Below are 16155 nucleotides of genomic sequence, written 5' to 3'. Positions count from 1 at the left end.
ATCTAGAATGTATATGCTACTTTCTTACATGCAAATGAGCTGTACATATTTGAGTAATATTGGTGACTTTTTTATATAAATCAATTTTTCCTTTTGATGATTACATTATACGAAGATGTTTGAATGCTGTTTTTTCTTTGTTATGTGTATGCTTATATCTGTGAAACATCTAGCTAGATGTCCTGCAGGAATCAGTTTTACATATGTAAACAGGCATATTTCTGCACTCTAAATTTTGATAATTAAAATAATTCGTAACTTTATTATTCAACTCTCAAGTGTTTAATAGCCATTACTAACAAAAATTTCTCTTTGTGGCTAATCTGATTACTTGGAATCTTTTTTATTGTGACCAAAAAAAGCAACCCTGCACATACAACTTTAACTTCAATATTTTAATGACGAAATTTAAGGATAATTTAAATAGAAATGGACTCAGAAAAGAATCAGTAAGACTTAGTGAAGGATCATTGTCTATTATAGAGAAGTTGATTTAAGATTAACTTATTAGTAATATTTAACATATATAAAGAATTATTAGACTGGGTATATAGACAAGCGTTTTATTCTTGGAAGACAAAAAGAAGAAAAATTGAATTCAACCGATGTATACGAAAATAAAAAGTAACAGTAAATTAAAAATAGATAATTAAATAAATATATGATACAGTATAACGTTTTATAGCCAAGATGATGTTACAAATCCATATTTATTGACATGGATATGTTTTTATACTAAAGTGTTTATCAAATAGCCATTAAGAGATAACTTCTTTGAATAATTTGCTTTCTAAATTTCTTAACTACATAAATTTCCAGCTTTATATGGAACACCAAGTTTTCAAACCATTAGTGATGTGCTTTTTATATGGTGTTAAAAAGTTTCTTTCTTTCTTTTTTCTTTTTCCCCCAAGATGGAGTCTTGCTCTGTCGCCCAGGCTGGAGCGCAGTAGTGCGATCTCGGCTCAGTGCAACAACCACCTCCTGGGTACAAGCAATTCTCCTGCCTCAGCCCCCCAAGTAGCTGGGATTACAGGCACCTGCCACCACGTCCAGCTGATTTTTGTATTTTTAGTAGAGACGGGGTTTTACCATCTTGGCCAGGCTGGTCTCTAACTCCTGACCTCAGGTAATCTGCCCACCTCAGCCTCCCAAAGTGCTGAGATTACAGGCGTGAGCCACCATGCCCGACCTAAAAAGTTTCTTAAACGTCACTTTATACTCTCAAATTATCTAGAAAGGAAAACGTATTAGATTCCTGGATATTTTGGATATTGTAAGGAACATACTTATTTGCTGTATATACTCTGTTTGTAACAGTATTGTAACTTCAGTTCAAAACAATACACAAAACATTACAAGTTCCCGTGATATTTTAAAAATTCATTTATTTTCTTCCTTTCTGAATACAAATGCTGTTCAGTCTGTTGATTCTTCACTAATCTGAAATATTAGGGACTGATTTCTGAATTGGATATTCATTCTGAAGCCTTTCAGAGCCACTGGCACAAAGGGTCTGTCAAACTTGGAACACCATTTGTTGTATCATTTTATTTTTTTCTCTTGGCAAATCCACATAATTCATACAGGACTATGCCAGTGTCTTTTGAAAGAAACAAGGTTTAAGAAAGTAAAAATGTTAATAAAGATAGTGAATGTTAATTCTGTCATTGTTACTGTATTTCTTCAAGCTGTGGCTGCAAACTGCTTTGAGTGATGTTATTGTAACTCGCACATTAGGGAGAGAAAGAGATGTTTGGTAGATTTTTAATTAATGATCCCTATCAATGCTCCTTGAGCTTTCCCACTCTATCTCTCCACAACTTCCATCCCTGGTTGGAAATTTTTTGCTTACCCATACTAAGTGAGAGTTATTGATGGGAAGGCATCAGATATCTCACGTGTGTTGCTGGTGGGATGGGAGACTGTGGAGGATGGGAACAGGTGGAAATCTACTGCAATGGAAAAAAAAAAAAAGCATGTCCTAGGACACCCAAAACATGGAGGCTAGATAATAACAATAGCTACTTGTACTGAGAGCTTCCACTCTGCCTGGCTCTTTGCTATGAGCCACATTATTCATTCCTTACAACAATCAAACAAGACAAGTAAAATATCATGCCCATTTTTTAATGAGAAAACTAGAGATTAGAGAGGTTATAGATACTTGCTCTGAGTCACTAGTAATGAGTAGTAGAGCTTTAATAAGTCCCTGAATTTAGGTTGTATCTAGTACATTTACTCTTAGAAGTCTATCATGCTCACCAGAGTTGCAGAGTTGCGTGTATTTCTTGGGCTCATTAATGTGTTTTTTTCTTTCTAAAACTAAAGTCATTTGAACTTGTTAGATTTTGAAATATTTAAATATCTTTTCTATCTGGCTTTAACATCTTTAATCTTGGAATCTTGCATGCCTTCATATTCTTAGGACCACGAAACCACAGGAATATTTAAAATGATATCTAGTGGAAACAATATGAAGTTGGCCATGGGGTCAAATTAGAGAATCTGAATACTATGCTTCTCCTTGATTGCTCTTCCCATTTCTTCAGAGTAACCCTATTCCCCCATCTCATGCTCACCCCCTTTCCAAAATCATACATAATGATCTCCCAACAGTATGCATTAGGCTTTCTCTACTCTACCCACTATGAAATTACACAAGAAGCCTATCGCAATCTCACTACCTCGTCTCTCTCACAGGTTTACAGAAGGTGAGAGGAAGGTGCAGATAGAGAATAAGAAGCAGGTGGCTCCAGCATCAACATTACATCACCCCTTGTGTTCACAACAAATACGGAATATTATCCAAAGATAATAAACGTTGTATTTTCTTAACTTAAACACATTAAATCAGTCCTCTCTTTAATCAATTGTTAATGGGCAGCATCTTTATTTTCATGCCATTCTACTCTGCTGTCTTTGCTATAGCACAAGTTTACCACATACCATACCTAAAAATTCAGTTGTTCTATGGGGGTAAACAAAGTCTAGGTTAAGCATATATTTCATAGAATGTTAATCTATAGCAAAATTAATGAATTAAATCCAGATAAAAGAATCCTATTATGGTCTGGTAAAATATTTATATTTCACTTAGCAAAGAGAAAACAAAACATGAATATTGTAGTTATGAACAGAATATGCATGTTAGTAATGCTTCCAAATATGTTATTACTTCATAACTTCATATTTCTTATGAGGTACAAGCCATTCAATTAGTTTAACGTTATATTCAGAGAGGCTAAAGATTTACTGAAGACCATGCTGTCCATCAATAATGAAAAGAAAAATTAAAAAAACTTTATTTTAACTTCTAGTTCCCTTCTTTGTACTTGAGCAGCTTTCCCTCCTTAAGAATACAGACCTAGAACATATGCAATATCACTATCAATATTATGTGTAATTAAAAGTTCATTGGATGTTTACTGTGTTCAAGGCATTTTAAGGAGTGACAAGAGTTAAACATATAGTTGTAATTCAAAATGACAACGAAATTAGTTTACAGTTTTCTTTTTTTGTAGGTAGTAAGAAATCATCTCCCCCTATTGAGGAATACCAATATAGAAAAGGCAAAACTTTAAATATGAATGAACTGTTTCATAATAACATAAGTTCTTCTTGATTTCCATTGTCACATCCAAATTTGAAGGCTATTTCTAACACAGCTGGGTTCTACCTTTTTCCTTCTCACTCTTTACCACACCCAATCTGTGAGGCTTCAGACACAAACTGCTAATTCAGGAGACAATTGTGCCTTCTGTAACAGTTTCTGCTAAATTGTCTCAGCTCTGCCACTTAAAATAGCTAGGTGATCTCAGCATATCACCAAAACTCTTGGAGCTCAGTTTCTCTGTCTATAAAAGTTACATAAAATGTAATTGATCTGCTTGTTATGACTAAATAACATAGTACATTAGTCCTTTGCCAAAGGACTAACAAATTACCAAATAAAAGTTTGGAATCATGTTAAACGTTTATAAGAAGTGCAACTGTCCAGAAATAATTCTCTCACATTGGTCTGTTGTAATGAGACCTAAAATATCTCATTTTATTTACCTCTTTGACTTAAAGCACTAGGTCTCAAGGAGGTCATGGTTATACTATAAATATGTCATGTGAAATAATATATTAAATAATTGTTGTAATACTCTATTGAGATACTAGTTGTAAAGAGGCACAATGGAAAACTTATACTATTAACAGTAGTAAAAAGAAACAACAAAAAGCAATAAAAAACAAAACACCCATTCATGCAACGACATGAACGAACCTCACAAATATTATACTGAGTAAAAGAAGTCAGACAAATATAAAACAAAGTTTATACTACGTGATTAGATCTTTATGACATTCTAGAATATGCACATGAAGGTACAAGGTAACTGTCTGGAATGATGAAAATGTCCTGTGTCTTCAAAATAGTGTGGGTTACACTAATGCATGGCTTTTTCAAAACTGATTTAAAGGGACACAACATCTGAGCATTTCCCTAGGTGTAAATTACACTGCAATTTTAAAGAATCATCTAATGATATTGTGGTTATTTTTAAACAGTCCTTAAATTTTGTGGATGCATACTGAATGTTTACAGCTGAAAAGATATATATAAAGCTTGAATTTGGTAAAAAAAAAAAAAAAAGAGGGAGGATTGGTAGTGATAAAGTGAGTGGACTTATGGATGAGACATGATCAGCCATGCATTGAAAAAATGTAAAAGTTGGATGATCTTCACATGAGAGTCCTTTATTCTGTCTACTTTTGCATATGTTTGAATATTTCCCATAACAAAAAGTTGAAAATAGAGTGATCACATGAGTTAATCTCCTAATTTACAAAAAAGAAAACTGGAAACAGAAGGAGAACAAAACTTGTTCAAGGTCTCAAAGCCAGACAGCAAACTAGCTCCCAAGTCCAACCTTCTTGCTCTGGTCCTAAGCAAACAAAAAATATTAATATGAGCTACTGCATTAAGGAAAGTCTGCTTTTCCAAAGGGCAGACCAATAGTTCAAGGAAGAGTTTAAATAATAAATATTTGTGATCTTACTTTCATGCTTTTCTATTTTCCACTGAACACATATGCATTATCTTCTATATGTCTTTTATGTATAATCATTTGCTTCCTGTTCCTTGTGGTTTTAAAGTTGTTTTGTATGTTTAAATTTGATTTTACTCAAATTTCAGAACCCAAATTAGCGCAAGAATCAGACAAAGCATAACTTTCTATAAATATAAAAACAATTAAAAAAAAAACATACAGCAAAAACGAGTTGTTGTTTCCCCCCTCCTCTTCCAGTGCTTAACTAATCTTCCGAATCCAGGCACAGAAAGCAAAGGCTTTCTGCTAGTGGGAGGAGCTTGCTTCTCCATTCTGGTGTGATCCAGGAACAGCTGTCTTCCAGCTCTGAAAGAGGTGAAAATGTGTTAAGCGATGCAAAAATTGTCTTGAAGTTCGCGTGTGTATGTCTGTGTGCATGTGCGTGTGGTGGGTGGGGGGAGAGAAAAGGGGGTGTCAATTCTGAGGGCAACGAGAATCAGAAGTCAGAAAGGTGAGTGGTGTGTAGCATCTCCCTTTCAGAAGGGGCTGAAGAAGAAATTGGATATGATGGTCCGGTAGGCTAAATCACGCTGGATTTGTCTCCCAGATAAAGGGAGGTCTGCAAAGTAAGTCCCATTTCTAGAGCGAAAAGCCTTAGGACCGCTTGTTTTAGACGGCTGGGGAATATTTATTCCTTGTTCCACTGATGGGAAAATCAGCGTCTGGCAGGCGCTGATTGGTGGAAAGGAAAATGGTGATAGTGGCGTGGAAAGAGGATTTGCTGAGCCTTCTCCTGCCTCCTCAACCTGTGACTCTTCCTTAGTAGTCTCCCTTTCACCCTCAGGACCCTTTCCGGCTCTTCCTAGATTAAGAGCAAACGAAAACCTTGAAGATATTTGAACTAAAGCGACCCCTAACGTTGTAACCTGTGACCGTGATTAAATTTCAGCGATGCGAGGGCAAAGCGCTCTCGGCGGTGCGGTGTGAGCCACCTCCCGGCGCTGCCTGTCTCCTCCAGCAGCTCCCCAAGGGATAGGCTCTGCCCTTGGTGGTCGACCCTCAGGCCCTCGGCTCTCCCAGGGCGACTCTGACGAGGGGTAGGGGGTGGTCCCCGGGAGGACCCAGAGGAAAGGCGGGGACAAGAAGGGAGGGGAAGGGGAAAGAGGAAGAGGCATCATCCCTAGCCCAACCGCTCCCGATCTCCACAAGAGTGCTCGTGACCCTAAACTTAACGTGAGGCGCAAAAGCGCCCCCACTTTCCCGCCTTGCGCGGCCAGGCAGGCGGCTGGAGTTGATGGCTCACCCCGCGCCCCCTGCCCCATCCCCATCCGAGATAGGGACGAGGAGCACGCTGCAGGGAAAGCAGCGAGCGCCGGGAGAGGGGCGGGCAGAAGCGCTGACAAATCAGCGGTGGGGGCGGAGAGCCGAGGAGAAGGAGAAGGAGGAGGACTAGGAGGAGGAGGACGGCGACGACCAGAAGGGGCCCAAGAGAGGGGGCGAGCGACCGAGCGCCGCGACGCGGAAGTGAGGTGCGTGCGGGCTGCAGCGCAGACCCCGGCCCGGCCCCTCCGAGAGCGTCCTGGGCGCTCCCTCACGCCTTGCCTTCAAGCCTTCTGCCTTTCCACCCTCGTGAGCGGAGAACTGGGAGTGGCCATTCGACGACAGGTTAGCGGGTTTGCCTCCCACTCCCCCAGCCTCGCGTCGCCGGCTCACAGCGGCCTCCTCTGGGGACAGTCCCCCCCGGGTGCCGCCTCCGCCCTTCCTGTGCGCTCCTTTTCCTTCTTCTTTCCTATTAAATATTATTTGGGAATTGTTTAAATTTTTTTTTTAAAAAAAGAGAGAGGCGGGGAGGAGTCGGAGTTGTGGAGAAGCAGAGGGACTCAGGTAAGTACCTGTGGATCTAAACGGGCGTCTTTGGAAATCCTGGAGAACGCCGGATGGGAGACGAATGGTCGTGGGCACCGGGAGGGGGTGGTGCTGCCATGAGGACCCGCTGGGCCAGGTCTCTGGGAGGTGAGTACTTGTCCCTTTGGGGAGCCTAAGGAAAGAGACTTGACCTGGCTTTCGTCCTGCTTCTGATATTCCCTTCTCCACAAGGGCTGAGAGATTAGGCTGCTTCTCCGGGATCCGCTTTTCCCCGGGAAACGCGAGGATGCTCCATGGAGCGTGAGCATCCAACTTTTCTCTCACATAAAATCTGTCTGCCCGCTCTCTTGGTTTTTCTCTGTAAAGTAAGCAAGCTGCGTTTGGCAAATAATGAAATGGAAGTGCAAGGAGGCCAAGTCAACAGGTGGTAACGGGTTAACAAGTGCTGGCGCGGGGTCCGCTAGGGTGGAGGCTGAGAACGCCCCCTCGGGTGGCTGGCGCGGGGTTGGAGACGGCCCGCGAGTGTGAGCGGCGCCTGCTCAGGGTAGATAGCTGAGGGCGGGGGTGGATGTTGGATGGATTAGAACCATCACACTTGGGCCTGCTGTTTGCCTGAGTTTGAACCACACCCCGAGTGAGCAGTTAGTTCTGTTGCCTACGCCTTTCCACCATCAACCTGTTAGCCTTCTTCTGGGATTCATGTTAAGGATACCCCTGACCCTAAGCCTCCAGCTTCCATGCTTCTAACTCATACTGTTACCCTTTAGACCCCGGGAATTTAAAAAAGGGGTTAATCTTTTCATGCAACTCCACTTCTGAAATGCAGTAATAACAACTCAGAGGATTCATCCTAATCCGTGGTTAGGTGGCTAGACTTTTACTAGCCAAGATGGATGGGAGATGCTAAATTTTTAATGCCAGAGCTAAAAATGTCTGCTTTGTCCAATGGTTAAATGAGTGTACACTTAAAAGAGTCTCACACTTTGGAGGGTTTCTCATGATTTTTCAGTGTTTTTTGTTTATTTTTCCCCGAAAGTTCTCATTCAAAGTGTATTTTATGTTTTCCAGTGTGGTGTAAAGGAATTCATTAGCCATGGATGTATTCATGAAAGGACTTTCAAAGGCCAAGGAGGGAGTTGTGGCTGCTGCTGAGAAAACCAAACAGGGTGTGGCAGAAGCAGCAGGAAAGACAAAAGAGGGTGTTCTCTATGTAGGTAGGTAAACCCCAAATGTCAGTTTGGTGCTTGTTCATGAGTGATGGGTTAGGATAATCAATACTCTAAATGCTGGTAGTTCTCTCTCTTGATTCATTTTTGCATCATTGCTTGTCAAAAAGGTGGACTGAGTCAGAGGTATGTGTAGGTAGGTGAATGTGAACGTGTGTATTTGAGCTAATAGTAAAAAATGCGACTGTTTGCTTTTCCAGATTTTTAATTTTGCCCTAATATTTATGACTTTTTAAAAATGAATGTTTCTGTACCTACATAATTCTATTTCAGAGAACAGTTTTAAAAACTCATAGTCTTTTAAAAAATAATCAAGAATATTCTTAAGAATCAAAATCATTGATGGATCTGTGATTTCTTTTACCATCATGAAAAATGTTTGTCAATTTTAATCCATTCTGATTTTTAAAATATGACTTTGATATGCCCCTGTGATGTGTATAAAGAGACCTATTTGTGGCCCTAAAATGGAAAGAACAGATTAGTCTTTGATAGAGTTACTTCATGTGATCATTTGGTCTCTGTGAACACTGAGGACAGAGAAAAGTGCTTGAGGGCTGCTACTAATCTCTCAGAAACATTTGTATAGTTCATCCATCAAATGACACACATACTAAAAGAATAAAGAAATTGATGCTTATTACCTACTTGTTCCTAAAGTTCCACCTTGGGGTATACACCCAAACTCTGACTCTCTTTTCTGTAACTTGAACTGTATTCAATTGAGTGTTATTTTACAAACCACTTTGAATTCCTTGGAAAAGAATAGACACACACTCTCATCCACAGGCATAGACACACACACTCAACACAGACACATTGCCCATTCTTCCTCTCTTCTTTCTCCTCTGAGCTTTTTCACATTCTCTGGTGGCAACTATAGCAGTAAGAGTCACAGGATGAACAGTCAGGTGGAGGATGACCACATTGAGTTGCCTAGCTGAAACATGTGCTCCGTCTATGTCTGCAAAGTGAAAGAAAGCTACACTATCTCTTCAACATAGATCAGTGGGGGAAATTTTATACTTGGGATGATTTATATGAATGCATCTCATCAAAGTTCACAACACATTTTTTTTTCAGTTTTTTATTTTCAGTTTTTAGAGTCAGGGCCTTGCTCTGTCGCCCAGGCTGGACTGCAGTGATGCTATCATAGCTCACTGCATCCTTGAATTCCTGGGCTCAAGTCATGCCCCCACCTCAGCCTCCTGAGTAGCCAGGATTATAGGCATGTGCCACTGCCTCATTATTTAGACTTTTCTTATGTTGACTTAATCTTCCCACAAATCTTCAATTAAATTACTTTTTTTCTACCTTAAAACATATTTTCAGAAAGTCATTGAAATAGGGTGTTACAAGAGGAAAAAATTGATGAGTTAATTTTAAATATTTTATGAAGTGTGAATTATACCTTTTTAGATGGAATTTGGAATACTGAATCAGTGACATGCAGTTTATCAATATCTTTCCGTTTGTCCTCAGATTTCCAAGTTCTGCAAGCACAAGTTTCTTTGACTTAGTTACCTTTTAACTGTTCATTGAAATCATTTTCAATGTCTCTCATGGCATTTAACACATAGCACATTCTATAAATTTTTTATTGGTTACATTCTGAGTTCTAATTGAGAGTTGAACTTACACACAGAATTTAAGATAAAAAATGACCATGTGAAGACACAATAGTATAGTCCAGGGATTGGCAAAATTTTGGGTAAGGAATCAGATAGCACGTATTTTAAGCCATGAGATCTATGTCTTGGCCAGGTGCCGTGGCTCAGGTCTTTAATCCCAGCACTTTGAGAGCCCGAGGCTGGTGGATCACTTGAGCCCAGGGGTTTGAGACCAGCCTGGGCCACATGGTGAAACCCTGTGTCTACAAACAACGCAAAAATTAGCCGGGTATGGTAGCATGCATGTGTATTGCCAGCTACCCAGGAGGCTGAGGTAGGAGGATGGCTTGAGCCATACAGCTCACTGCAGAGGTTGCAGTGAGCTGAGATCGAGCCACTGCACTCCAGCCTGGGTGGCAGAGTGATACCCTGTCTAAAAAAAAGAAAAAAAAATCTATGTCTCAATTCTGCTGTTGAAGTGTGAAGGTAGTCATAAACAATAACTAGTGTGGCTGTGTCCCAATAAAACTTCATTTATCAAAACAGGTGGTGGGCTGGAATTGTCTTGTATGTTGTAGCTTGCTGACTACTGATAGAGTGGAAAGAACATGCACTAATCACACAAACCAAAGTTTTAGTTGAGACTACATCACTTATCACCTTTAGGGTCTTGGGGAAGCGTACTTAACATCTCTGAGCATCACTTCCCTGATTAGTAAAAAATATGATTTAGAAAACTGCAACTACCTTGCAGTTTTTGTGGGAATGTCATAATAAGACAGGACATATGAATAATTGAGCACACTTTTATATATAGGAACCATGGTTATTATTATCAAATAAACTCTCCAACGGAATAATTACTTTGCCAACACGTTTTCCATTTATTCTTTTATCCTTCATTACATAACTAGTTTGAAAGATTGGAGGCGACCAAAGACCATTTTATAATTTCACTTATGGCTGAAGATGTTTGGTAGAAGCCTCATAAGAAAAGTAATCTCATTCCTTTATAAGAATATACTTTTAACAACTACTTTTTAACTCATTGAAGAACTACCTTAATGATCAGTGTTATTTTTATGGGTTTTGTTCCCTCCATTTTTGTTATCTGCGTACACCAATTTTCAATCAACATACTTCAATTTAATAGACAAAAATTTCTTCAAATGACTCAGAAATTAATTAGATCTAAATCCAAAAGCAGAAAGATTTAATTATCTTTATATAATGCTCAGTAATATAAATGCAATAAATACAAGAAAATGATGATCTTTGAGTGTCTTCCAATGCCACTCTGCTCAATAAGCAGCAGTGGCCATCAGTGAAATTGATAGCAAATTCTCAAGTCAAAATGTGCTTCACCTCACTAAGCTGACAAAGTCAACATAACATGCACAACAGGGATAACTGAGTTCTCAAAACTCTCAGGTATTACTTCTGACCTTCTTCTCCACTCTGTGCTCTTTTGAGGTTGGGAAGACAAGATAGGGTGTGTGTGGGACACCTCCGCTCAGGGAAGCCATCAGCTCTGGTGTCCCTACAGCATTTATACCTTGCTAGTCACATAACCACTTGGCACCTATTTTGTAGGTGTACGTTATCAATTACAGATTACTCATAAATTAAAGGCTAACCATCAATTACAGATTATTAGTAAATAATTATGACCTCAAAGAACAACTGATTGGTTTGATACATGGTAACCTTATGAGGACTCTCATTTATCTCGTTTTTTTAAGTTATATACCTATCTCTTTGGGGTTGCACTACAAAAATATAAAATATGTTGCATAAGATATTTATAAAAAATAATTAATTATAAGTTCTAATGGTGTGGTTTAGTGGCATTCTTTTTTTTTTCTTTTTTTCTGAGATAGGGTCTCAATCTGTCATTTCACTCCAGGCTGAAGTGCAGTGGTGTGATCTCGGCTCACTGCAACCTCCGCCTCCTGGGTTCAAGTTATTCTCCTGACTCAGCCTCCTGAGTAGCTGAAATTACAGGCATGCACCACCATGCCCGGCTAATTTTTGTATTTTTAGTAGAGATGGGGTTTCACCATGTTAGCCAGGATGGTCTCGAACTCCTGATCTCATCATCCCCGACCTCGGCCTCCCAAAATGCTGGGATTACAGGCGTGAGCCATTGCACCCGGCCTAGTGGCATTCTTTTTTAAAAATAAATTTAATTGTGTATATTTAGGGTATGCAACATGATGCTATCAGATACATTAGACACTAAAAAATTACTATATTGAAGCAAATTAATATATTCATAATCTCTCATAGTTACCTTTTTTGTTGTTTTTGTGGCAAGGGCAGCTAAAATCCACTTATTTATCATGAATCTCAAATATAGTACAATTTTATCACCTACAGTCCTCATACATTAGATCTGTACACTTTTTCATCTTACACATCTGCTACTTGCTTGGATCCTATGGCCTATATGTCCCTATTTTCTACCTACTTTTCCACCCCTATTAACCCTGTTTTTTACGTAGTCTCTGTATATTTGAATTTTGTTTCAAGCTTCCACATATATGTGAGATAATGTAATATTTTTCTTTCTGTGTTTGGCTTATTTCACTTAGCATAATTTTGTCTGGGTTCATCCATGTTGTAAATGGTAGGATCTTGTTTTTTTAGGGCTGACTGATATTCCATTGTATCTATGTACCACAATCTTTTTATCTACCTATCTATCAGTAGACACTTTAGTTGTGGCTATTATGTTTTTCTTTTTTTCTTTTTTGGAGACAGGGTCTTGCTGTCACCCAGGCTGCAATGGAGTGGTGTTATCATAGCTCACTGTAACCTCAAACTTCTGGGCTCAAGAGATCCTCCTGCCTTGGCCTCCCAAGTAGCTGAGACTACAGGCATACATTACCATGCCTGGCTAATTTTTAATATTTTTTGTAGATATAGCATCTCACTCTGTTGCCCAGACTGGTCTCAAACTCCTAATTCAAATTTAGAATAGAGTATGACAATTCTGTAAAATATAAAAAACATGTCCACTCCGTATAGGAAGTTATACAATGAGAAGAAGACAAACACTATTTACATTACTCTTGATAAGTTTTTTACAAAGAAATAAAACACTTTAATTTCTAATGTTTTAAATTCTGGTTTGCTAAATAAATAAATATTAGTTTTAGTGTTTTTAAAATTCCTTATATAGTTATAAGTGATCTTCCTGCCTCAGCCTCCCAAAGCACTGGGATTCCAAGCAAGAGCCACTGTGTTGGGGCCCTTGGAAACAGATATGCTGAAATCTTTTCTTGTGGATCTACACCCAGAAGAGGGATTGCTGGGTCATATGCTACTCTATTTTTAATTTTTCTTTTATTTTTAGTGAATATGTAATAATTGTATATAATTGTGGGATCCAGAATTATATTTCCATACATGTATACAATGTGTGATAATCAAATTAGGGTAATTAACATATCCATTACCTGAAACATTTATCATTCCTTTGTGGTGGGAACAGTAAAAATTAAAAATTCTCTCTTCTAGATTTTTGAACATATGCAATAAACTATTGTTAAGTATATCACCCTACAGTACTACAGAATGCTAGAACTCATTCCTCATATTTGGCTCCAATTTCATATTCTTTAACCAACCTCTCCATATCCTCCCCTCCCTCTTACCGTTGTCAGCCTCTAATAATCATAATTCTACTCTCTACTTCTATCTCATTGTCTTTGATTTAGAATATGTTTCATAATTTAACCAAAGGTCAAATTCTTAGGTACTGCTAAGGCAAAGAACAAAGATCGCATTCCAGCTGTTAGACATTTCTTACTACTAGTCATTTTTAAGACAACATGGGGTGCAGGTGGTGAGGATGAGAGATAGAGATTGAAACATATTCTCTTAAATATCAGCTGTTCTCACTCTGCATAGTTCCAGCACAAACAAATTCCAGGTACTATGGTTAGTTAAATAACACCAGCCACTAACAACACAATTCAAATTTCTGTTACCACAGTATACCGAAAGTCATTGCATAAAGTACAAACTTTGCTGCTAACTCTTCAGCCTTCAAATCATTACATAAATAACAGAAACCCATTATAATCAGTGACAAAACCACAGCACTTCTTTCAAAGCTTTTTGGAGATTGGTTGCTTCACATCTGTTATGCAGTTCATACAGACAGCAATGCCCGGACTTGTGTGGCCACATTGTCTCCCAGTGGTGAGCCCATGTGATGTTTCACGAAAATGCGCAATCAAAAGAGGAAACTGGCCAGCAAAGATGAAAGAGTAGCAAACAAAGGAAGTGAAACATTCTGGAAGTAAAATTTGAATCAAACATAAGTTGATGTATACAGGAAGTAGCTACCCTGAGGATGTTGTCACTGCTGCAATTCAGGAGACTCTAAATATGCAGTCAGAGGAACGTAGTGAGGTGAAGGTATCCGTATAATGGGGAAAGAGGTTGTGATAAAGAGTGAAGGTGTCCCAGAGGAAGTGTTGCTGAAAAATACACCTTATGTTAAATACACTGTCAGTATATCATGACATTAAAGTGCAAATGATAACATTTTGTAAACTGATCCAAACTTAAAAAGGAGTATGATAATTCTGTAAAACATAAAAATCATGCCGATTCCATAAATTATACAGTGTGAATTACACTGAAAAATCCAACATTAGAGAGGATATGAATACAATTTTTTACAAGCATAATTTTAATAATACACATAATAATTATTTGTATTCAAGTTTAGTAATGTTCAAGGTTTGGAAGAAATTCTGATCCTGTGTAGAGACCCTAGTTTGAATGTGCTTATAGCCTATTATTACATGTGTAATGTTACATAAATTACTTAACTCGGATTTTTAATTTCATCAGCTATTTAAAATGGGCATAATATAACTATATTAAATGGCTGTTATGAAGATTAAATAAGATGATATGTAAAATGTGTTTTTTGTTTGTTTGTTTGTTTGTCTGTTTGTTTTTTTGAGACAGAGTCTTGCTCTGTTACCCAGGCTGGAGTGCAGTGGCACAATCTTGGCTCACTGCAAGTTCTGCCTCCCGAGTTCATGCCATTCTCCTGCCTCAGCCCCTCCCAAGTAGCTGGGACTACAGGCACCCGCCACCACGCCTGGCTAATTTTTTGTATTTTTGGTAGAGATGGGGTTTCACCATATTAGCCAGGATGGTCTCGATCTCCTGACCTCGTGATCTGCCCACCTCGGCCTCCCAAATTGCTGGGATTACAGGCATGAGCCACTGCGCCCAGCCTAAAATGTTTTTTTTACATAATGGGTGTTCAGCACATGTTAAAGCCTTCTCTCCATCCTTCTTCCCTTTTGTTTCATGGGTTGACTGATCTGTCTCTAGTGCTGTACTTTTAAAGCTTCTACAGTTCTGAATTCAAAATTATCTTCTCACTGGGCCCCGGTGTTATCTCATTCTTTTTTCTCCTCTGTAAGTTGACATGTGATGTGGGAACAAAGGGGATAAAGTCATTATTTTGTGCTAAAATCGTAATTGGAGAGGACCTCCTGTTAGCTGGGCTTTCTTCTATTTATTGTGGTGGTTACTGGAGTTCCTTCTTCTAGTTTTAGGATATATATATATATTTTTTTCTTTCCCTGAAGATATAATAATATATATACTTCTGAAGATTGAGATTTTTAAATTAGTTGTATTGAAAACTAGCTAATCAGCAATTTAAGGCTAGCTTGAGACTTATGTCTTGAATTTGTTTTTGTAGGCTCCAAAACCAAGGAGGGAGTGGTGCATGGTGTGGCAACAGGTAAGCTCCATTGTGCTTATATCCAAAGATGATATTTAAAGTATCTAGTGATTAGTGTGGCCCAGTATTCAAGATTCCTATGAAATTGTAAAACAATCACTGAGCATTCTAAGAACATATCAGTCTTATTGAAACTGAATTCTTTATAAAGTATTTTTAAATAGGTAAATATTGATTATAAATAAAAAATATACTTGCCAAGAATAATGAGGGCTTTGAATTGATAAGCTATGTTTAATTTATAGTAAGTGGGCATTTAAATATTCTGACCAAAAATGTATTGACAAACTGCTGACAAAAATAAAATGTGAATATTGCCATAATTTTAAAAAAAGTAAAATTTCTGTTGATTACAGTAAAATATTTTGACCTTAAATTATGTTGATTACAATATTCCTTTGATAATTCAGAGTGCATTTCAGGAAACACCCTTGGACAGTCAGTAAAATGTTTATTGTATTTATCTTTGTATTGTTATGGTATAGCTATTTGTACAAATATTATTGTGCAATTATTACATTTCTGATTATATTATTCATTTGGCCTAAATTTACCGAGAATTTGAACAAGTCAATTAGGTTTACAATCAAGAAATATCAAAAATGATGAAAAGGATGATAATCATCATCAGA

The 16155-nt window shown here is 38.2% G+C and overlaps 1 protein-coding gene and 1 long non-coding RNA gene across 18 annotated transcripts in view; one reads left to right on the top strand and one right to left on the bottom strand.

Moving 5' to 3' along the window:
- Positions 1675-7265, bottom strand: SNCA-AS1 (SNCA antisense RNA 1). The gene is made up of 4 exons (NR_045481.1): positions 6932-7265; positions 5260-5405; positions 2266-2325; positions 1675-1955 (listed from the first exon to the last, which is right to left on the bottom strand). It is a non-coding gene; the product is annotated as an SNCA antisense RNA 1 (long non-coding RNA).
- Positions 5362-16155, top strand: part of SNCA (synuclein alpha) — a 114206-nt gene continuing 103412 nt past the window's right edge. For 3 of the 17 annotated variants that reach the window (NR_164674.1, NM_001146055.2, XM_011532205.3), the window contains exons 1-3: positions 5362-5414; positions 7974-8119; positions 15482-15523. Coding sequence is in view for 14 of the 17 variants with exons in the window: in NM_001146055.2 (NP_001139527.1) it covers positions 7999-8119; positions 15482-15523 (163 nt within the window). In the remaining 3 variants the exon portion in view is untranslated. Of the gene's footprint in view, positions 5415-6504; positions 6924-7136; positions 7206-7425; positions 7540-7973; positions 8120-15481; positions 15524-16155 lie in introns of those variants that run through there. The other 14 variants (NR_164675.1, NM_000345.4, XM_011532203.2 and 11 more) reach the window with 8 other exon arrangements.

The sequence above is a fragment of the Homo sapiens genome, chromosome 4, assembly GCF_000001405.40.
Source record: "Homo sapiens chromosome 4, GRCh38.p14 Primary Assembly".
NCBI classification, from domain to species: Eukaryota; Metazoa; Chordata; class Mammalia; order Primates; family Hominidae; genus Homo; species Homo sapiens.
This window is presented reverse-complemented; position numbering and strand designations above follow the sequence as displayed.